At 46.0% G+C, this 21,975-nt stretch overlaps 1 protein-coding gene across 3 annotated transcripts in view, besides 6 other annotated features; it reads right to left on the bottom strand.

Moving 5' to 3' along the window:
- TANGO6 (transport and golgi organization 6 homolog) overlaps positions 1 to 21,975 on the bottom strand; it is a 241,652-nt gene that overhangs the window by 3,092 nt on the left and 216,585 nt on the right. The window lies entirely within an intron of this gene.
- Positions 3,656 to 4,175: an enhancer, noted in NCBI's record as "OCT4-NANOG-H3K27ac-H3K4me1 hESC enhancer chr16:69111819-69112338 (GRCh37/hg19 assembly coordinates)". NCBI's record gives its function as "activates a minimal SCP1, AML or CMV promoter by ChIP-STARR-seq in naive and primed H9 embryonic stem cells {active_cell/tissue: H9 hESC(naive and primed)}" and the evidence as "EXISTENCE:reporter gene assay evidence [ECO:0000049][PMID:30033119]".
- Positions 7,559 to 8,276: an enhancer, noted in NCBI's record as "H3K27ac-H3K4me1 hESC enhancer chr16:69107718-69108435 (GRCh37/hg19 assembly coordinates)". NCBI's record gives its function as "activates a minimal SCP1, AML or CMV promoter by ChIP-STARR-seq in naive H9 embryonic stem cells {active_cell/tissue: H9 hESC(naive)}" and the evidence as "EXISTENCE:reporter gene assay evidence [ECO:0000049][PMID:30033119]".
- Positions 8,277 to 8,995: an enhancer, noted in NCBI's record as "H3K27ac-H3K4me1 hESC enhancer chr16:69106999-69107717 (GRCh37/hg19 assembly coordinates)". NCBI's record gives its function as "activates a minimal SCP1, AML or CMV promoter by ChIP-STARR-seq in naive H9 embryonic stem cells {active_cell/tissue: H9 hESC(naive)}" and the evidence as "EXISTENCE:reporter gene assay evidence [ECO:0000049][PMID:30033119]".
- Positions 8,996 to 9,713: an enhancer, noted in NCBI's record as "OCT4-NANOG-H3K27ac hESC enhancer chr16:69106281-69106998 (GRCh37/hg19 assembly coordinates)". NCBI's record gives its function as "activates a minimal SCP1, AML or CMV promoter by ChIP-STARR-seq in primed H9 embryonic stem cells {active_cell/tissue: H9 hESC(primed)}" and the evidence as "EXISTENCE:reporter gene assay evidence [ECO:0000049][PMID:30033119]".
- Positions 9,714 to 10,433: an enhancer, noted in NCBI's record as "OCT4-NANOG-H3K27ac hESC enhancer chr16:69105561-69106280 (GRCh37/hg19 assembly coordinates)". NCBI's record gives its function as "activates a minimal SCP1, AML or CMV promoter by ChIP-STARR-seq in primed H9 embryonic stem cells {active_cell/tissue: H9 hESC(primed)}" and the evidence as "EXISTENCE:reporter gene assay evidence [ECO:0000049][PMID:30033119]".
- Positions 18,378 to 19,196: an enhancer, noted in NCBI's record as "H3K4me1 hESC enhancer chr16:69096798-69097616 (GRCh37/hg19 assembly coordinates)". NCBI's record gives its function as "activates a minimal SCP1, AML or CMV promoter by ChIP-STARR-seq in naive H9 embryonic stem cells {active_cell/tissue: H9 hESC(naive)}" and the evidence as "EXISTENCE:reporter gene assay evidence [ECO:0000049][PMID:30033119]".

Here is a 21,975-nt window from a genome sequence, read left to right as displayed (position 1 = left end):
AATCACTTGAACCCAGGAGGCGGAGGTTGCAGTGAGCCCAGTGAGCCGAGATGGCGCCACTGAACTCCAGCCTGGGTGACAGAGCTAGACTCCATCTTAAAAAAGTGGCACACGCCTATAATCTCAGCTACTCAGAGGGCGAGGCTGGAGAATCACTTGAACCCAGGAGGCGGAGGTTGCAGTGAGCCGAGATCGAGCCACTGCACTCCAGCCTGGGCAACAGAGTGAGTGAGACTCTGTCTCAAAAAAAAAAAAAAAGTCTGCTACTACAGTTTCCATTTTTCATGACCAATGCTCCGATTTTATGGTCTGATATGGAATTGGGAGGGTGTCAAAAGTACCTACTCACAGGAGCTCCTACTTCCCTAAAAAATCCTCCTGGCTTGGGAGCTAGAACTTCTAGCAAGAAACAGGTTTCAACGGAACAGGGAAACAAAAATAAGGGAACTGAGGCCGGGTGTGGTGGCTCAGGCCTGTAATCCCAGCACTTGGGAGGCCAAGGTAGGTGGATCATTTGAGGTCAGGAGTTTGAGTCCAGCCTGGCCAACAAGGTGAAACCCCATCTCTACTAAAAATAAAAATTAGCAGGTGTGGTGGCACGCACCTGTAATCCCAGCTGCTGGGGAGGCGGAGGTTGCAGTGAGCCAAGATCATGCCACTGCACTCCAGCCTGGGCAACAGAGTGAGACTCCACCTCAAAAAATAAAATTAAAAAAAAAAAGTAAGGAGATTTAGGGACCAACTCGTCCAACTAGGTACAGGAGGCAATTGGGCCACAGGGGGTCATGTGACTTGTCTGCAGCTACTTGTAAAGTTACTTCTGGTCCAGGGCTTTTTGCCTCAAATACTACTACTTTTTGGGTCAGGTACTATTTTAGGTACTTTCTATATATGATCTAATTTTTCTGCCAGTCCTATAGAGGAAGGTTATTTTTACTTATTTATTTATTTTTGGGACGGAATTGTGCTCTGTCGCTCAGGCTGGAGTGCAGTGGCGCACTCTTGGCTCACTGCAAGCTCCGCCTCCTGGGTTCACACCATTCTCCTGCCTTAGCCTCCCGAGTAGCTGGGACTACAGGTGCCCACCACCACGCCTGGCTAATTTTTTGTATTTTTAGTAGAGACAGGGTTTCACCGTGTTAGCCAGGATGGTCTCGATCTCCTGACCTCATGATCTGCCCGCCTCGGCCTCCCAAAGTGCTGGGATTATAGGCGTGAGCCACCGCGCCCGGCCTAGAGGAAGGTTATTAGCCCCATCTTATATTTGCAGAAACAGAGGGTTAGAGGGTTGAGGTTACTCAGCTAAAAAAATGATGGAGCCAGGTTTCCAACATCCAGAGCCTGTGTTCTTATTTTTTATTTTTATTGAAAAGATAATACAGTACAAAAGAGTACATATTAAAAGGTAAGGCTCTGTTCTACTCCAGACTCCTAGCTGTTTCCCTTCTCAGAGGACATCATTCATATGAAGACATTTTCTAAGTGTTTACAAGCACACATGTGTATATTTCTGTTTCTTGTCCCCTCTCCCCCAGTTTTTTTAGACAGGGTCTCACTCTGTTGTCCAGGCTAAAGTACAGTAGTGCAATCATAGCTCACTGCAGCCTCAATCTCCTGGGCTCCAGCAATCCTCCATCTCAGCCTCCCAAGTTAGCTGGGACTACAGGCATACACCACCATGCTTGGCATTTTTATTTTTTTGCTATGTTGCCCAGGCTGGTCTTGAAATCCTGGGCTCAAGCAACCCTCCCACCTCAGAGGTAGGGATTACAGGCATGAGCCACCAAGCCCAGCCTTCCCTTACCTTTTTAAAGTACAAAATTATATTCTACGCTCTGTTGTGTACCATATTTTTTCCCCCACTTAACATGTTTTGTAGATCCTTTGTATAATTGGCACATATGGAAATAACTTATTTTTTATAGCTGCAGAGGATGAATGTAATGCAATTTATTTAACCATCTTTCCAATGAAAGTAATTTAAATTCTTTTTATCTTTTGCTATTGCAAATATTGCTGCAATAAACATTTTTTTGAAGATGGGGTCCTGCTATATTGCGCAGGCTGGTCTTGAACTCCTGGCCTCAAGTGATTCTCCCACCTCAGCCTCCTGAGTAGTCAAGATTAGAGGCATAAGCCACTGTGCCCAGTGCAATATGCATTCTGATACTTAGGTCATTACAGACATGTACAAGTATATCTGTAGGACAAATATCTAGAAATGGAATTTCTGGCTCAAAGGGTAATGCGCATTACAATTTTGATAGATATGGCCAGAGAGGTTCCAAGAATTTACATTTTCCTCAAACACTGTGAAAATTCCTGTTTCCCCATATTCTTATCAGTGCCATGTATTGTAAACTCCTTATTTTTGCTAATCCAGTAGAAAAAAATAGCATTTTGCTGTTATGAATTTGCATACTTCCAACAAATATATAAACATAAATTTGTATTTTTTTCTGGTATGTATAATTCAGCTTCTCCTTAATGATTCGTAAAAACTCCATTTTTTTTTAAGTCCATTATCTGTCATATGAGTTGCAAATATTTTTCTCCCAGTTGGCATTTTTTCTTTGTGAAATTTTTTATTCTGGTGAAGAAATTTCCATTTTTGATGTAGTTAAATTTATCAAATGTTTTCCTTTGTGGTTTCTGGATTTTGTGTTTTGCTTAAAAGAAATAGGGCCTATAATTTTAGCCATTATACTATGCGGTTTCTTTATTTTCTTTTATATTTATTTATTTATTTATTTATTTGTTTTTGAGACAGTTTTGCTCTTGTTGCCCAGGCTGGAGTGCAATGTGCGATCTCGGCTCACTGCAACCTCCGCCTCCCGGGTTCAAGCGATTCTCTTGCCTCAGCCTCCGGAGTAGGTGGGATTACAGGCATGCGCCACCATGCCCAGCTAATTTTGAATTTTTTAAAAAATAGAGACAGGGTTTTGCCATGTTGGTCAGGCTGGTTTTGCAATCCTGACCTCAGGTGATCCGCCCACCTTGGCCTCCCAAAGTGCTGGGATTACAGGCATGAGCCACTGCACCCAGCCTATATTTTATTTTTGAGACCAAGTCTCCCAGGCTGGAGTGCAGTAGCCGAGACGGGCAGATCACCTGAGCTCAGGAGTTCGAGACCAGCCTGGCGAACATGGCAAAACCCTGTCTCTACTAAAAATACACAAATTAGCTGGGCGTGGTGGTGCATGCCTGTAATGCCAGGCTGAGATAGGAGGCTGAGATGGGAGAATCACTGGAACCAAGGAGCTGGAGGTTGCAGTGAGCCAAGATTGCGCCACTGCACTCCAGCATGCGTGACAGAGCAAGACTCTGTCTCAAAAAATAAAAATAAAAATAAAATAAAATACAGAAACGTATATTTAACTTAGTCAACTCTACGCAAAGACTTTGTAAGGCCATTTAACAATGGAAACATCTAGATCTTGCCTTTAAAAGGCTTCTGGTCTAGTGGGGATGAATAAGAAGATAGTCACGTAAAGACAGACAATACAGAATAGAACATGGTAAAGGTCACAGGGAGCAGAGAGAGAGTGATGAGACATCAGAGAAAAGAGAGGCCACATTTTAGGAATAGGAAAGTTCACTGGAGATGGCGAATGGAAATGATGGGAAATAGTTAATTCAGCGGGTAACAAGCACATGGTCTGGGCCCAGAGTCCCCTGAGCATTCCACCAAGTAGACTGTGTCTAGCACCACGTGTCTTGGACTTGCTATAAGAAGAGAGCAAGAGCCTTTCCATCTTTCGATATTCCTGATCAGCATGGACACTGGGGAGTGAAGGCAGGAAGTCAGGGGAAAGGGCTACATAGAACAAGCTCCCCAGGCCGACCCTTCCCCACAGCGGGCCTCCCTCTGGCCGCCTGTGCTCCAGCTGTGCCGGCCTTCTTTCTTTTCTTGCCTGAACAAAGCTCCTCTCAAGGCCTTTGCATATGCTAGTCCCTCAGCCTGGGAGGCTATTAATATTTTGCTTCCTCTTCCTAGGACTCTTATACCCTTGGCCTCCGGGATTCTTTCCCTAACCCCCGCACCTAGGTAAGTCTTCCTGCCCTTCCCGGAGTTCTGTTTGTAGCCCCTATCAGGACTGTAATGTAAATATTTGTTGTGGGGCAGGCTGGTGGTATAAAAAATAAACAAATAAAAAATAAAATAAATATTTATTGTGTACTTTAAAAGGTTTTCCTCTCTAGATGGTAAGTACTATTGACACTGAGGCCATGTTTTGCCTTTTTTTCTTTTTTCTTTTTTGAGAAAGAGTCTCGCTCTGTTGCCCAGGCTTGAGTGCAGTGGCTCTATCTCAGCTCACTGCCAACCTCCGCCTCCTGGGTTCAAGCGATTCTTGTGCCTCAGCCTCCCGAGTAGCTGGGATTACAGGCACGTGCCACCACGCCCGGCTAATTTTTGTATTTTTAGTAGAGACAGGGTTTCACCATGTTGGCCAGGCTGGTCTTGAACTCCTGACCTGAAGTGATCCACCCATCTCAGCCTCCCAAAGTGCTGGGTGGGATTACAGGCGTGAGCCACCATGCCTGGCAGCCTTGCCTTTTTCAATCTGGTATAGCCCCAATGCCTCAGAAAGTGACTGGTACATTGCTCATACCTAAAAAAAAGTATGAGTGAATAAAGGCATTCATGCGTGCCACTCCTGGCTAGTCTCTCAACTGGTAAAAGCAGAAACTCCTAAGAATGTCGACTGAAACACTGCCAGACAACTAGGGTTGCGACCTGCAGTCACACAAGGTCCCATGCTCAAGAGGGCCAGGTTTGCTTGGTCTAATGATCTGCTGTTGCCATCCTAAAATTCTTCCAGCCTGGGTAACATAGCAGGACCTCATCTCTACTAAAAAAAAATAAAATAAAATAAAATAAAAATTAGCCAGGCATGGTGGCACACGCCTGCAGTCTAGGGCTTGGAGGCTAAGGCTGGAAGATCCCTAGAGCTCAGGAGTTTGTGACTGCAGTGAACTGTGATCGTGCCACTGCACTCTATCCTGGGAGACAGAGTGAGACCCTGTCTCCAAAAAAAAAAAAATTCGTAATAATCTTATTTTTCAACTTGTGTGTGTGTTTTGTTTTGTTTTGAGACAGAGTCGTGCTCTGTCGCCCAGGCTGGAGTTCAGTGGTGCGATCTTGGCTTACTACAACCTCCGCCTCCTGTGTTCAAGCGATTCTCCTGCCTCAGCCTCCTGTGAACCTGTGTTTTGTAAATGAACTCCAATGGGACAGGGAGCGTGAATGTCAGTGGAGGAGGTAAGATTGTGTTCACTCCTCTTTGCCAGAGCATTTGCATCTGGAGTTCACTGTGCCCCATAAGCACAGGATTCTGGTGGACTCACCATATGGGGGAGGGCAACAAGGCTAGAAGCAAGTACAAGGCAGGCATGGCTGTTACATTTAAGAGTGGGCAAATGGAGGCCCCAACAGCTTGGAGAGGCGACACTTTTCATGCACTTTCCATGCGTTGCTTCGAACACAGAAAGAAGGCAATGGCTTTCTAAAAAACACAGAGGACCATGGAACCCGACTGCATCTTTCTTACTCATTCACTTCCTTGTTTTAGCCAGTCATTTACACTGAAAATAATGGCACAGCAGGGCAACCCATTATTCTTGTTCCTTTCAGTCCTTTCTTATCAGTAAATCAAAGGTAGACAGTGTTGGTCGAATGTAAATGTATCAAGAAATGAGGCTGGGCACGGTGGCTCACGCATGTAATCCTAGCATTTTGGGAGGCCAAGGCAGGCGGATCACCTGAGGTCAGGAGTTCGAGACCAGCCTGGCCAACATGGTGAAACCCCGTCTCTACTAAAAATACAAAAATTAGCCAGGCGTGGTGGTGGGTGCCTGTAATTCCAGCTACTCGGAAGGCTGAGGCACGAGAATCACTTAAACCTGGGAGGTGGAGGTTGCAGTGAGCCTAGATTGTGCCACTGCATTCCAGCCTGGGAGACAGAGCAAGACTCCATCTCAAAAAAAAAAAAAAAAAAAAAGAAATGAAATAAAAATGTTGAATTCAGGCCAGGCGCGGTGGCTCACGCCTGTAATCCCAACACTTTGGGAGGGCGAGGTGGGAAGATCACGAGGTCAGGAGATTGAGACCATCCTGGCCAACATGGTGAAACCCCGTCTCTACTAAAATACAAAAAAGTAGCTGGGCACGGTGGTGCACGCCTGTAGTCCCAGCTACTTGGGAGGCTGAAACGGGAATCGCTTGAACCCGGGAGGCAGAGGTTGCAGTGAGCTGAGACTGAGCCACTGTACTCCAGTCCGGGTAACACAGAGTGAGACTCTGTCTCAAAAAAAAAAAAAAAAAAAAGTTGAATTCAGCTGGGTGCAATGGCTTATGCCTGTAATCCCGGCACTTTGAGAGGCCAAGGCAGGAGGATTGCCTGACCCCAGGAGTTCAAGAGCAGCCTGAACAACATGGTGAAACCCCATCTCTACAAAAAGTACAAAAATTAGCCAGGTGTGGTGGGGTGTGCCTGTAGTCCCAGCTACTCGGGAGGCTGAGGTGAGGGGATTGCTTGAACCCAGGAGGCTGAGGCTGCAGTGGGCCATGATCTTGCCACTGCACTCTGGCCTGGGTGACAGAGTGAGACCCTGTCTCAAAAAAAAAAAAAAAATAAAAGTTGAATTCGTGTTGTGTAGAGTTTCTACTGTTCTGCTAAGAAGGAAATACATATGCATGTGTAAACTATGAAATACAAATTGTGTAATTTCAGTGATTCTGTGTAGGAGCTAATGCTCTTATATTTGCATTTAGAATTGGCATTGCACAATGTAAAGATGAACAGTAAAATTCATGCTAATAATTTAACATTTTAATTTTTCTCCAGCAAATAATAAACATCATGACAAGTTGAGAGAGAGACTTAGACCCCATCTCTTAAAAAAAAAAAAAAAAGCAGACTTTGGAAGGAAAAAAATTATATTTCAGGCCAGGCACAGTGGCTTATACCTGTAATCTGTGCACTTTTGGAAGGCCAAGCTGGGTGGATCAACTGAGCTCAGGAGTTCGAGACCAGCCTGAGCAACATGGCGAAACCCCGTCTCTACTAAAAAATTAGCCAGGCGTAGTGGCGCATGCCTGTAATCCCAGATACTCAGGAGGCTGAGGCAGGAGAATTGCTTGAACCTGGGAGGCGGAGGTTGCAGTGAGCCAAGAATGGCGCCACCTCACACTAGCCTGGGCAATAGGGCGAGATTCTGCCTCCAAAAAAAAATAATAATAATAATTATACACACACACACACACACACACACACACACACACACACACAGGCATTCGAACCAGAGTGACTCCATTTTGAGTGAGAGCTGGAAAATGAGGCTGAGACTTGCTGGGCTGCATTCCCAGAAAGTTAGGTATTCCTAACCTCTAGATGTTTATGGTTAAGGGAATGAATTAATAATGTTTACCAAACAGACTCAGACTTAGGAGTGTCCAGATATCCCGATATCTGGAGAACAAAGACATTCCTAATTTTGCTTTAAAGATGATAATTTGATACTTGTAAAGTATAGTAATTGAGAAAATTAATCCTTTATCACAAGTCCTTGTAGCAGAGCACATCGCCCCATATATACGAGTATTGTATCTAGGGTGGACACGTTCCTCCTCTTTCGGGAACGTCCTACTCTGTCTATGGAGCAGCTGTTCTTTCACTACTTTACTCTCTTAATAAATTTGCTTTTACTTTCCACTGCAGACTCGCCCTGAATTCCCTCTTGCACAAGATCCAAGAAGCCTCTTTTGGGGTCTGGATCGGGACTCCTTTTCTGTAATATATATATATATACACACACACACACAGCACTAATGGTACTTTCTTCTTGTTGTTGTTATTTGTTTTCCCTAGCAAGGAGCCCTGCATTTTAATCTGCACTGGGACCCACATATTATACGGTCAGCCTGCAAACAACCCTCAATGCTCCTAGCCCAGTGTCACCACGTGAAGCACCTGAGTCCTGTGAGCAAACCTCAGGAAGATGCTGCCTGGTCCCTGCTGGGCAGTTACCTCCTGGGCTTTCTCAGGGAGCTTCTGAGCCACAGTCAGGTCTCCTAGGTCGGGGGCCTGACTCTGTGGCCTCACCCGAGTGCCTTTTTTTTTTTTTTTTAAGATGGAGTCTTGCTCTGTGCCCCCCAGGCTGGAGAGCAGTGAATGGCATGATCTCGGCTCACTGCAACCTCTGCCTCCTGGGTTCAAGCGATTCTCCTGCCTCAGCCTCCCATATTGCTGGGATTACAGGCGCCCGCCACCATGCCGAGCTAATTTTTGTATTTTTAGTAGAGACTGGGTTTCACCATATTGGCCAGGCTGGTCTCAAACACCTGACCTTGTGATCTGCCGGCCTCGGCCTCCCAAAATGCTGGGATTACAGGCGTGAGCCACCAGGCCTGGCTTCGAGTGCCCTTTCTAACCTGTCTTTGGGCAAGGAAGTCTTATTTTTCCTGAGGCTGGCCGCATGAAAATGAGCTAATTCCCGGCAGAGGATGACTCTCCACCGCTATTGCCTCATGATTACTCACTCATTCAATAATCAGTACTATGGGCCTCTGTCATGCCCAGGCACTGTGCTGGCGATAAAAAAGATGAATAAGGCACGAACCCTCCCAGGTGGCAGCTACAGCCCTGTGGGGAGGCAGTACACACACCCCACATGGAGTGATCTCCGTTCTAAGAGAGAAACGCAGGCAATTCTCTGGAAGCAAAGGAAGTCATTTCCGCCTTTGGAGGTGGGTGGAGGAAGAGGAACCTGTACCTGCTCTGTGAAAGTGCCTTCACTCTGACATTTATTCCCAGCCAGTGGGTGGCACCAAGGAAATGGCTTGGGGGAACTTTAGTAAGTTCCAGCTCCCAGGCCATCACAAAAAGAAGGCAGTTTCCAAGCAAAACCAGCATGCTTGCTATGCAGGTACAGCCTAAAGACAAATCTCCCAACACTCTCTCCAATGGATTATAGCCCAAAGCATCTCTATATATAGAAATTCTAGAGCTTCCACTTTTTTTTTTTTTTTAAAGAAGGTCTCACTCTGTCACCCAGGCTGCTCTCCTGGCTTCCTGTGCCCCATCCTCCAGTGTTTGTTACAAGGTCATCTTTTTTTTTTTTTTCCTTTTAGAGGAATCTTTCACTTAGAAATATCTTTGAGATTTTTTTGCTAGAGCCTCCTAACATTCAAAGTAAAGTCAGCTTTTACTTGTTAAAAAGGGATACTCACAGGTATTCTGCTCTTTCTCCGTGTGGGTAGGAATTTCCCCCTGGGCACTTCTGTGTCCTTAAAATAACAATACTGCCTGTGCAAAACCCACTCCACACTTGAGGGGTGCTGAGCTCCCTGTTATCAGTTACCGGATCTCTGTTTTTAGTAACTGAGTGTTAAGCAAAGCCTCCTGCTTAATTAATGGGTCTATCTTAGCAACCCATCCTGGTATAGAGCTTCTTCCCAATCCCTGTGACTCTAGGGATCCCACACATCATAGGACTTCCTCTGGACTCCCCAAGGATCAAAGCTTCCTGCCAGCCAGGGATTGTCACCAAATCCCATGGATCAGGGGCTGAATACAAGGAGAGTTCAAAGGTAAAGTTACAGGAGCCTCTGTCGGGGGCAGGATATAGGCAATCCCACAGCGGAAACCTCTCATTATGAGTTCAGCACACCTGCTGTTCATCCCCCAACTGTATCAGGCCCAAGGACTCCAGGGCAAGGTGGAGTGGGTATGGCTGTGAGTAGGCTGGGTGCGTCTCATTCACAGGAAAGCTAGTTTAGCTGCTTGCAGTCAGTGGTTGAAACAAACACTTTCACCATCTGAGAAGCTTAGGCCAAGGATATCTTAAAGAAGTACCCAGACTCCTGGTCTGAAAACTCTTTGGAAGGGAGTGGCGTTCAGATTCTTTATCAAAAGAATTTAGAGAGCGCATGTGACACACACACACACACACACACACACACACACGGTCTCCCTCTCTCTTCACACATACACACACACACACACGGTCTCCCTCTCTCTACACACACACACACACACACACACACACACACACACACACACGGTCTCCCTCTCTCTTCACCCTCCCTCTTTCCAGGCGCCAGTTGGCCTGAAACACACAAAGCTGAAGCTTCAGGGACAAGGGCAGTCTTTAGGGTTAGACGTGGCTCAGAAAGGACCAGAAGAGGCTTGGCAAACTGAAAAGGGAAGGTGTGAGTAAAAGACTGCCTTGGGCACACAGGTGCACATTCAATGGAAAAGCAGGAAGACAGTGTTTGACTCTTTCAATGAGCTTGACCTGGAACATTTGCGGAGTGGTTGTATCTTTAAGATCAAAAGAAGAAATAAATGGCAAATATCTTTCTTCTCTTTACTTCCTAAATTGATTTGTTTGATTATAAAAACCATATTACCACAATCCAGAATATATGAAAATAGAGGAAGAAAAAAGGCTCTAGTTAGACTACCTCTCTAACACAAGCTCCATGAGTAAAGACGGTAATGAGTAGATTCATTTACACTTAAAAATTATTTTAATATTTTAAAGGTCATTTACATTTCAAGGTGTTTTTTACTACTGGAACTTGGTGAATGAAATGGCTATTCTGTTCTTATTGTGTGAGATCAACAAAACACAACATGAATGGTCAAAAATAAGACATTTACAGAAAAAGGACTCTGGACACGGTGATCTAGCAGAGGTTTTTCCATCTATAACTTCTTAATAGGAAAATGAGTTGCTAAATATAAAAGGACAAAAACGTTAAATGCTAGCATACACTCATTGTGTCAGAGGCGTTAAAACCAGAGTGACTGCATTTTGAGTGAGGGCTGGAAAATGAGGCTGAGACTTGCTGGGCTGCATTTCCAGAAGTTAGGCATTCCTAACTTCTAGGTGTTTATGGTTAAGGGAATAGATTGATAATGTTTACCAAACAGACTCAGACTTGGAAGTGTCCAGATATCCCAGTATCTGGGAACAAAGGCATTCCTAAATTTTGCTTTAACAAAGGCATTCCTAATTTTATGGTGGCTCACACCTGTAATCACACTTTGGGAGGCCAGAGGTGGGTGGATCACCTGAGGTCAGGAGTTTGAGGCCAGCCTGGCCAACATGGTGAAACCCCGTCTCTACTAAGAGTACAAAAATTAGCTGGGCATGGTGGTGGGTACCTGTAATCCCAGTTACTTGGGAGGCTGAGGCAGGAGGATTGCCTGAATCTGGGAGACAGAGGTTGCAGTGAGCCAAGACCACCCCATTACATTCCAGCATGGGCAACCAGAGCGAAATTCCGTCTCAGAAAATAATAATAATAATAATAATAATAATAATAATAATAATATTGATTCTTGCAAACTATAGCAATTAAGAAAATTAATCATTTATCACAAACCCTTGTAGCAGAGCACATCTCCCCAAGATCTTTTGTGTGTGTTTTTTTGTTTTTTTTTTTTTTGAGATGGAGTCTCCCTCTGTCACCCGGGCTGGAGTGTAGTGGTGTGATCTTGGCTCACTGCAACCTCTGCCTCCCAGGTTCAAGTGATTCTCCTGCCTCAGCCTCTCAAGTAGCTGGGATTACAGACAAGCACTTCCATGCCTGGCTAATTTTTGTATTTTTATTAGGGACGGGGTTTCACCATGTTGGCCAGGCTGGTCTTAAACTTCTGACCTCAGGTGATCCCCCCGCTTCGGCCTCCCAAAGTGCTGGGATTACAGGCGTGAGCCACTGCGCCTGGCCCCAAGATCTTTTTCTATCCTATATATATAAGCATTGTACCTAGGGTGGACGTGTTCCTCCTCTTACTTTCAGGAATGCCCTACTCTGTCTATGGAGTAGCTATTCTTTCACTACTTTCTTTTCTTTTCTTTTTCTTTTTTTTTGAGAAGGAGTCTCGCTCTATCGCCGAGGCTGGAGTGCAGTGGCACGATCTCGGCTCACTGCAACCTCCGCTTCCTGGGTTCAAGTGATTCTCCTGCCTCAGCCTCCTGAGTAGCTGGGATTACAGGCACATGCCACACCTAGCTTTTTTTTTTTTTTTTTTTTAGTACAGACAGGGTTTTGCAATGTTGGTCAGGCTGGTCTTGAACTCCTGACCTCATGTGATCTGCCCGCCTCGGCCTCCCAAAGTGCTGGGATTACAGGCATGAGCCACCGTGCCTGGCCCACTACTTTATTTTCTTAATAAACTTGCTTTTACTTTGCAATGTGGACTCGCCCTGAATTCTTTCTTGCGCGAGATCCAAGATCCCTTTCTTGGGGTCTGGAATGGAGACCCCTTTCCTTGTAACAGTTGTATTTAGAAATTCAATATTCTATAGAAACAAGAGATGAAGCAAACAAAGATCAAAAAGAAAGAAGGCTACATTCCACACAATCCTATCAACCACCAATTGTGACTCCCTTTGTGGTTGAGAAATAAATAAGAGGCACAAAGACAAAAACAGAGGAATAACACGCAAGTTATACACCGAAATAATAAGACAGGTGAAGACAGGGGAAAGAGGTGAACTGGAGCTGGTGGCTGGAGATTGTCCTGGCAGAAAAAAAGATTCTCTAGATTGAGGTCCAGAAGAGAAGACTCCAGAATCCGACTAGTTCTGTTTAAAAACATGTTGGAATAAGCATTAGGTGTGGTATGAATCTGTCAGAAAGCAACAGTCCAACTTCTAAGCACCTTCATCTTGCCCAAGATGTGATTTTGTGGCTAAGAGATGTGAGAGGGAACAGATGAGACTATTACGGGGCAGAGAGTCAAGAATTGTCAGTAGAGAACAACTCAGCAAAATTTCCCACATTGTGTGCAGGAGACTAGGCTAAGTATTCTGCTGAATGGCTCCCACACCCAGGAGCTCACACCCTGTTGGGGAGGCAGACACACAGAATTAAGCCTAATGGTCAGGAGGCAGGCAAACTGAGTGAAGTGGACCCTAGAGCTCCCAATTATTAGCTAGGGAATCTTGAACAAACTACTTCACTTCTAGGAACCCCAGTGATCTCGTCTATAAAATGGGAATAAGTTTGCCTCCTGAAGGTTGCAATAAGAATTAATGTATCTAAAGATCCAAAAACATGGCTGGGTACGGTGGCTCATGCCTGTAATCCCAGCACTGTGGCAGGCTGAGGCGGGTGGATCACCTGAGGTCAGGAGTTCGAGACCAGCCTGGCCAACATGGCAAAACCCCTTCTCTACTAAAAATAGGAAAAAAATTACCTGGGCGTGGTGGCGGGCACCTGTAATCCCAGCTACACGGGAGGCTGAGGCAGAAGAATTGCTTGAATCTGGGAGGCGGAGGTTGCAGTGAGCCAAGATGGCGTCACCGCACTCCAGCCTGGGCGACAAGAGCGAGACTCCATCTCAAAACAACAACAAAAACAAAGATCCAAGCACAAGGAATTGCAAATGGTGGGTGCTAAAGAAGTGATGGTTTGTCAGTGAAGACTGTGACCTCTGTGAGGGCCAGGACTATGTCCATCCTGTAACTCTTACATCACTGAGGCCTGGAAGAGAGCCTAACATGCAGTAAATCTTTGAAGAATGAATGAATGGCAACGGTAGCTAATCCTTACATAGTACTTGGTATATGCCAGGTATGATTCCAGGCATTTTGTCTACATTAACTCAATCCCCACAACACAATTATCATTTCCAATTTGCCCAGGTTCACACAGCTAGTAATGGGTAGATCCAGGATTCAAACCCTGGTAGCCTGACTCCAGAGTAGTGTTCTTTATTAATCACTATACTGTACCGTCTCTCAAAGCGGTTTTTATTATGACTATTACTATTATTGAGACAGAGTCTCTCTGTACCCAGGCTGGGGTACAGTGGCACGATCATAGCTCACTGCATGCAGCCTTGAAGCTCAGGTGATCCTCCTGCCTCAGGCTCCCAAGCAGTTGGGACTATAGGTGTGCATCACCATGCTCAGGTAATTTTTTTTTTTTCAAGACAAGAGTCTTGCTCTGTTGCCCAGGCTGGAGTGCAGTGGTGTGATCTTGGCTCACCGCAACCTCTGCCTCCCAGATTCAAGCAATTCTTCTGCCTCAGCCTCCCGAGTAGCTGGGACTACAGGCATGTGCCACCATGCCTGGCTAATTTTTGTATTTTTAGTAGAGATGGGGTTTATTTTCTTTTTTTTTTTTTTTTTTTGAGACAGAGTTTCACTCTTGTTGTCCAGGCTGGAGTGCAGTGGTGCAATCTTGGCTCACCACAACCTCCGCCTCCTGGGTTCAAGCAATTCTCCTGCCTCAGCCTCCCGAGTAGCTGGGATTACAGTCATGTGCCACCACACCCAGCTAATTTTGTATTTTTAGTAGAGACAGGGTTTCTCCATGTTGGTCAGGCTGGTCTTGAACTCCCAACTTCAAGTGATCCGCCCGCCTCGGCCTCCCAAAGTGCTGGGATTAGAGGCATGAGCCACTGTGCCCGGCCAGTAGAGACAGGGTTTCACCATGTTGCCCAGGCTGGTCTCCAACTCCTGACCTCATGATCCGCCCGCCTTGGCCTCCCAAAGTGCTGGGATTATAGGCGTGTGCCACGGCGCCCAGCGTTTTTTTTTTTTTTTTTTTGAGATGGAGTTTTGCTCTTGTTGCCTAGGCTGGAGTTCAGTGGCGCAATCTTGGCTCACTGCAACCTTCACCTCCCAGGTCTCCAGGTTCAAGCGATTCTCCTGCCTCAGCCTCCTGAGTAGCTGGGATTACAGGCACCCGCCAACACGCCTGGCTAATTTTTTGTATTTTTAGTAGAGATGGGGTTTCACCATGTTGGCCAGGATGGTCTCGAATGCCTGACCTCAGGTGATCCACCCGTCTTGGCCTCCCAAAGTGCTGGGATAACAGGCATGAGCCACCGTGCCCAGCCTCAGCTAATAAAAAAAAAATTTTTTTTGTAGGCCAGGCACAGTAGCTCATACCTATGATCCCGGCACTTCGGGAGGTAAAGGTGAGAGGATTGCTTGAGCCCAGGAGTTTGAGGCCAGCCTGAGCAACACAGCAAGACCCTTTGTCTACAAGAAATAATAGAATTAGTCGGGCATGGTGTCACGCATTTGTGGTCCCAGCTACTTGGGAAGCTGAGGAGGGAAGATCACTTGAGCCTGGGTGGTTGAGGCTATACTGAGCCGTGATTGCACCACTGCATTCCAGCCAGGGTAACGAAGCAAGAAAGACCCTATCTCAAAAACAAAAACAAATTTTTTGTAGAGACGGGGTCTTGATATTTTGCCGAGGCTTGTCTTAAACTCCTGGCCTCAAGCAATCCCCCCACCTCAGCCTCTCAAAGTGGTTATTATTTTCACTACCATGGAGTGGGAGGCATAAGGCACATATAACCACCTACCTTACGAGTATATTGTGGGGATCAAAAAAGATAATGTATGTGAGAGTATTTCACTATCATCAGCAAAGTGATAAATAATTCAAAGTATTGTTATTATTACCACCACATTAAGAAAATTGGGTTTACCACCAAGGAATAAGAATAGGAGGGGAAGTCCGGGCGCGGTGGCTTATGCCTGTAATCCCAGCACTTTGGGAGGCCAAGGTGGGCAGATCACTTTAGGTCAGGAGTTCAAGACCAGCCTGGCCAACATGGTGAAACCCTGTCTCTACTAAAAATACAAAAAAACTAGCCGGGCATTGTGGTGTGTGCCTGTAATCCCAGCTACTTGGGAAGCTGAGGCCAGAGAACTGCTTGAACCTGGGAGGCAGAGGTTGCAGCGAGCCAAGATCACGCCATTGCACTCCAACCTGGGCAACAGAGCGAGACGCCATCTCAAAATAAATAAATAAATAAACAAATGAATGAATGAATGAATAGGAGGGGGAAAGGCACAGCTCTGAAAACAAAGACTAGAGAGGAGAAGCCAAAGGCAGAGTGGCTGGGCAGATGAATAAATGAAGGCGAGTGAGAGGAAGAGGGAGGTGGCGTAGATGCGGGGAAATGAATTTAATGTAGTCTGAACACAGTATCAGGCCAGCGCAGGTCAGATGATGTTGGTAGCTGGCACACTGGAAGCTCTGATCAAGCTATGCTGCAGAATGGAAAGCATCAGGAAGAATTCTGCCGGGGAAGCAGAAAGGGGCCAGACTCCAAGGTCTTTGAGGCGAGTGGCCTCTCTAAGATAATGGGCAGGAAACAAATAAATTGGGGAAGCAGAATGGACACAGACAATCTGGACCTCATTCAGGAGCTCTGGACTGAAGAAGAATAATGCTTTCCTGATAAAACCCAAACTTTCACTTTGATGGGTCTATGAAAAAGAAATTAGGGCCAATTCAAACCTGAAAGACCAGGCTTTTGAGACACTTCACTGAAAGCGTCAGGACGGTCAGTAAAGAAAGGCAGGATTACTAATGTCTAAGAGATTTCTACCCATGCCTGACAGATAGAAAATCTCAAACACACTGAAGTTCACAGTGGCATTATTATTAACTGGAGGTTACTGAGCTTTTCAAAAACCTTTTATTTTAAGAGTATTTTTCTCTGCTAGACCTAGAGATAAATGGCACTTTTACCCTTTCTGGCTACTAAATGAGGAGAGCATCTAAAGTGCAAATTGGAGATGGGGTGGAAAGGAGATGAGGCGGGTATCATGTGTGGTTTTTCCTGAGAAAAAGGGAGAAATATTTAACTGGTCAAGTGCCAAAAATGCTACAGGGACATGGACAGTTTAGGTTGTTTAGGGACAAAGACCAAGATGGTGGGTAGCAGTTAACCCTTGGGAGGGATGATAGCTCAGGAGTCCTAAACAAAAAATAGGCGGTCAGAACTCCCAACACCTAACTGTGTGTGCTCCCTGGCTGGCTTATGCTGAGGCATGCTGCCCAAGGGCTGGAGTGGTCAGTGACCATGCAGCTCCCTGCAGCTGGGACAGGAGTGGCAGCTGTGGTGGCAGGAGCAGCGGTGGCAAAATGTTTCAGAATGTCTTTAAATAGCAACCTGAGGAAGGCGGCAGCTTTCCTACACCCCCACAAGCCCTGAAATAGCACAAAGCAGCAGGGAAAATGGTCGAAGTGTGTGCAAAGGCAGCAGGCTACTGCTTACGAGAAAAGAGATTGGGAGTGTTGTCCTGAGAGGGTGAGTACAACCCCAGCTTTCAAACTGTACTCAGTGATCACATATGGGGGAACAGGCTTCATTGTTTCCAGTCCTTCAAGATCTCCATGCAGACACCCCGCTGAGGGCACCACACTTCTATTTCCTTTCTGCATGGAAAGCCTCCCACGTGGGATTAGACAGCATCTGAAAAAGGCTCACTACTACTGCTGATTGAGTGTTTACTACATTTCAGTCATTGTGCTAAGCCCTGGACACACATTATCTCATTTAACCCTATGAAGCAGGTATTATTAGCCCCAGTTTATGAATTAGGGCACAGGAGGTTAGGGAGGTTTAGAGATTTGCTCAAGGACAAATAGCTAGAATTCAAATCTGCATCTGTCAGATCTAAGTTCACAAACTTTGTTTTTCATATGTGCATTACTAGGAAATCCAATATGCATGAGGACACCATGCAGAGAATTTGATCTTCCTCCTGCACCATCAAAAGTTGTTTATTTGGATGGTGCCTGGCTGGTGAGAGAAGATAGGGAGCAGCAGAAAGGCTGGTGGCTGACTCCATGGTTTAGGCTTCCTTTAGGATGCCAGTTTGCTTTAGGGCACTCTGAATCACCTCAGGCTTGCTCTGATCACACAGCCTCAGGTCATGCCTCTGTGGATAGGGGAAGTGCAGACTGCAATCCTTAGGGCATTTGCTCACTGGAATTCAATGCTCTGTGCAAGATGCTTCAGGAACATAAGGTGCTACAGTAGGATCAAAGGCCAAAAAACCCAGAGTCCCTGACACATCAGAGGCTCTGGTAAGGGTTTGTATTATGTGCTAATATACGCATGGCATGGACCAGACTGGAAAAAACAACCTCCCACCCACACCAGAAAAGTATGGCTGTAGAGCTGGGCGTGGTGGCTTATGCCTGTAATCCAGCACTTTGGGAGGCCGAGGCGGGCAGATCATTTGAGGACAGGAGTTTGAGACCAGCCTGGCCAACAAGGTGAAACCCCGTCTCTGCTAAAAACACAAAAATTAGCCACGCGTGGTGGCACATGCCTGTAATCCCAGCTACTCAGGAGGCTGAGGGAGGGGAATTGCTTGAATCCGGGAGGCGGAGTTTGCAGTTAGTTGAGATCGTGCCATTGCACTCCAGTCTGGGCGACAGAGGCTCCATCTCAAAACAAAATAATATAATAATAATAATAATAATAATAATAATAATAATAAGAAGAAGAAGAAGAAGAAGAAGAAGAAAAGTATGGCTACGCTGCCCAGAGTGAATACCATTGCCTCTGAATGATACCATCATTCTAGTTAATGATTCTCCATCCTCACTACTCATTAAAAATCCCCCAAAGAACTTTGTTTTTTTTTTTTTTTTTTTTTTTTTTTGGAGATGGAGTCTCACCGCAGCCTTTGCCTCCCAGGTTCAAGCGATTCTCCAGCCTCAGCTTCTCGAGTAGCTGGGATTACAGGTGCCCCCCACCACACTGGCTAATTTTTTTTTTTTTGAGACGGGGTCTCGCTTTGTCGCCCAGGCTGGAGTGCGGTGGCGCGATCTCGGTTCACTGCAATCTCCGCCCCCGGGGTTCACGCCATTCTCCTGCCTCAGCCTCCTGACTAGCTGAGACTACAGGCGCCTGCCATCACGCCCGGCTAATTTTTTTGTATTTTTAGTAGAGACGGGGTTTCACTGTGTTAGCCAGGATGGTCTTGACTCCTGACCTCGTGATCCGCCCGCCTTGGCCTCCCAATGTGCTGGGATTACAGGCGTGAGCCACCGCGCCCGGCCCCAGTGTTTTTTTTTTTTTTTCAGACGAAGTCTGGCTCTGTCACCCGGGCTGGAGGGTAATGGCGCGATCTTGGCTCAACCTCCGCCTTCTGGGTTCAAGCGATTCTCCTGCCTCCGCTTCCCAAGTAGCTGGGACTACAGGCACGCACCATTATGTCTGGCTAATTTTTGTATTTTTAGTAGAGACGGGGTTTCACCATGTTGGCCAGGTTGGTCTCGAACTCTTGACCTCAAACAATTCACCTGTTTCGGCCTCCCAAAGTTCTGGGATTATAGGCATGAGCCACTGCGCCCAGCCAAGTTTTTGTATTTTTAATACAGACAGGGTTTCACCATTTGGCCATGCTGGTCTCTAACTCCTGACCTCGTGATTCACCACCTTGGCTTCCCAAAGTGCTAGGATTACAGGCATGAGGCACTGCGCCTGGCTGATTCTTTTTTTTTTTTTTTTTTTTTAAATTTCTTTTTATGGGCCGGGTGCGGTGGCTCATGCCTGTAATCCCAGAACTTTGGGAGGCCGAGGTGGGTGGATCACGCGAGGTCAGTGGTTCCAGACCAGCCTCGCCCACATGGTGAAACCCTGTCACTACTAAAAATAAAAAAATTAGCCAGGCGCAGTGGCAGGTACCTGTAATCCCAGCTACTCGGGAGGCTGAGGCAGGAGAATCGCTTGAACCCGGGAGGCAGAGGTTGCAGTGAGCCGAGATCACGCCACTGCACTCCAGCCTGGGTGACAGTGTGAGACTCCGTCTCAAAAAAAATAAATAAATAAAAATTAAAATTAAATTTCCTTTTATGCTCCCCAGGTAACTCTTACAATCTAATAATAATAAGATGCTCCCCAGGAAACTAACAATCTAATAATAAGGATGCAGGATGGTAGGCAAAAACACTGGCTAGGAGACTGCAAGAGAGATACCATGGTTTCAAAAGGAGAGGTCACTTTTTTATAGACTTTGCCTATGAAAAGTCTAAGCCTCAGGTACAGGCAAAGTGATTTGGACATAACTTATTGCACTTCTTGGAATTTTCTGAATTATCCACAATGATTTTATTTTCCAGAAGGCAGGCGGTCAGAATAAGTTTTGACCCACAAATTAAAATTGCATCTTTTCCCCACAAATATTTTTAAAAATTTGTTCTTAAACATATGTATGTGAAGTATGAGTCTGAAGATAGAGAAAGTCACAGGCTACCGAAATGCATTCTTTTTTTTTCTTTTTTGAGATGGAGTCTCGCTCTGTCGCCAAGGCTGGAGTGCCAGTGGAGCGATCTCGGCTCGCTGCAACCTCCGCCTCCTGGGTTCACGCCATTATCCTGCCTCAGCCTCCTGACTAGCTGGGACTATAGGCGCCCACCACCATGCCCGGCTAATTTTTTGTATTTTTAGTAGAGATGGGGTTTCACCGTCTTAGCCAGGATTGTCTCGATTTCCTGACCTTGTGATCCGCCCGCCTCGGCCTCCCAAAGTGCTGGGATTACAGGCGTGAGCCACCGCGCGCCCGGCCGGAAATGCATTCTGTAGGAAGATGAAAAGATAAGATAAATGCAGTTTCCTCCTTGGCTGGGAGCAAGCATTATGGCAAAAACCTCTGCCCAGAGGGGATGAACTAAAGGAAATACATATGCTAAAATTTTGACAGCTAAATAAATAAATATAAATATAATGGGAAGATGACTTTTTTGTTTTTGAGACAGAGTCTCACTCTGTCGCCTAGGCTGGAGTGCGGTGGCGCGATCTCGGCTCACTGCAACCTCTGCCTCCCAGGTCCTGCTTTCAGCCTCCTGTGTAGCTGGGACTACAGGTGCATGCCACCACACCCCGCTAATTTTTGTATTTTTAGTAGAGATGGTTTCACTATGTTGGCCAGGCTGGTCTCAAACTCCTGACCCTCAGGTGATCCACCTGCCTCGCCCTCCCAAAGTGCTGGGATTACAGGCATGAGCCACTGCGTCCAGCCAGAAGCCAAATTTTGAAAAGCAGAGTGATTCTAGCCGAACATCAGTATTCATTCTGTCACTCTGCCTCAGGACTCCTTCACTCAGCTGATTTGGTGATAGCAGGTCCATAACCCAACTGCAACAACAAAAAAACCCTGTAGGTGTTTCCAAGTAAGGAGGCAAAATTCCCTCCTTAAGAGATCTTAAGAAAACTTGTTGAGGCAACTTTTGCTCTTGGGAAACCTGAATACTAGATTTTGGAAGTCCCAGAATTCCCAGTCTTTTATTTTTTTGTTTTTTTTGTTTTTTTTTTAGACGGAGTCTCCCTCTGTTACCAGGCTGGAGTGCAGTGGCGCTATCTTGGCTCACTGTAACCTCTGCCTCCCGGGTTCAAGTGATTCACCTGCCTCAGCCTCCCGAGTAGCTGGGACCACAGGCGTGCGCCACCACGCCCAGCTAATTTTTGTATTTTTAGTAGAGATGGGGTTTCACCATGTTGGCCAGGATGGTCTCGATCTCGTGACCTTGTGATCCTCCCGCCTCGGCCTCCCAAAGTGCTGGGATTACAGGTGTGAGCCACCATGCCTGGCTTAGAATTCCCGGTTAAAGATCAAGATCTAAAAAGTCATTTATTGCAAAGGTGGGTACGAAGGAATTTAAGAGCAATGTTCCATGCCTCTTTTTTTTTTCTTTTTCTTTTTTTTTTTAAGAGACAGAGTCTTCTCTGTTGCCTGGGGTGGAGTGCAGTGGCACAATGATAATTCACCGTAGCCTTCAACTCCCGGGCTCATGTGATCTTCTTGCCTCAGTTTCCAAAGTAGCTGGGACTACAGGCATGCACCACTATACTAAGCTACATTTTTTATTTTAGTAGAGATGAGGCCTCGCTATGTTGCCCAGGCTGGCCAGGCCTCTTACAGAAATGATTTCATTCACTCATAAACAGGGCAAAGTGCTAGCTTTTGGGAATATAAAAGTGAATGGAGGCTGGGGGCAGTGGCTCACACCTGTAGTCCTAGAACTCTGGGAGGCTGAGATGGGCGGATCACTTGAGCCCAGGAGTTCAAGAGCAACCTGGGCAACATGGTGAAACCTCATCTCTATTACACTTTAATTAAACTTAAAGAAAAAAAAGCCTTTTCATAAAAAGTATAACATGTAGCGGAGTCCTACAGGATTAATACAAA

The sequence above is a fragment of the Homo sapiens genome, chromosome 16 (assembly GCF_000001405.40).
Source record: "Homo sapiens chromosome 16, GRCh38.p14 Primary Assembly".
In the NCBI taxonomy this organism is placed as follows: Eukaryota; Metazoa; Chordata; class Mammalia; order Primates; family Hominidae; genus Homo; species Homo sapiens.
This window is presented reverse-complemented; position numbering and strand designations above follow the sequence as displayed.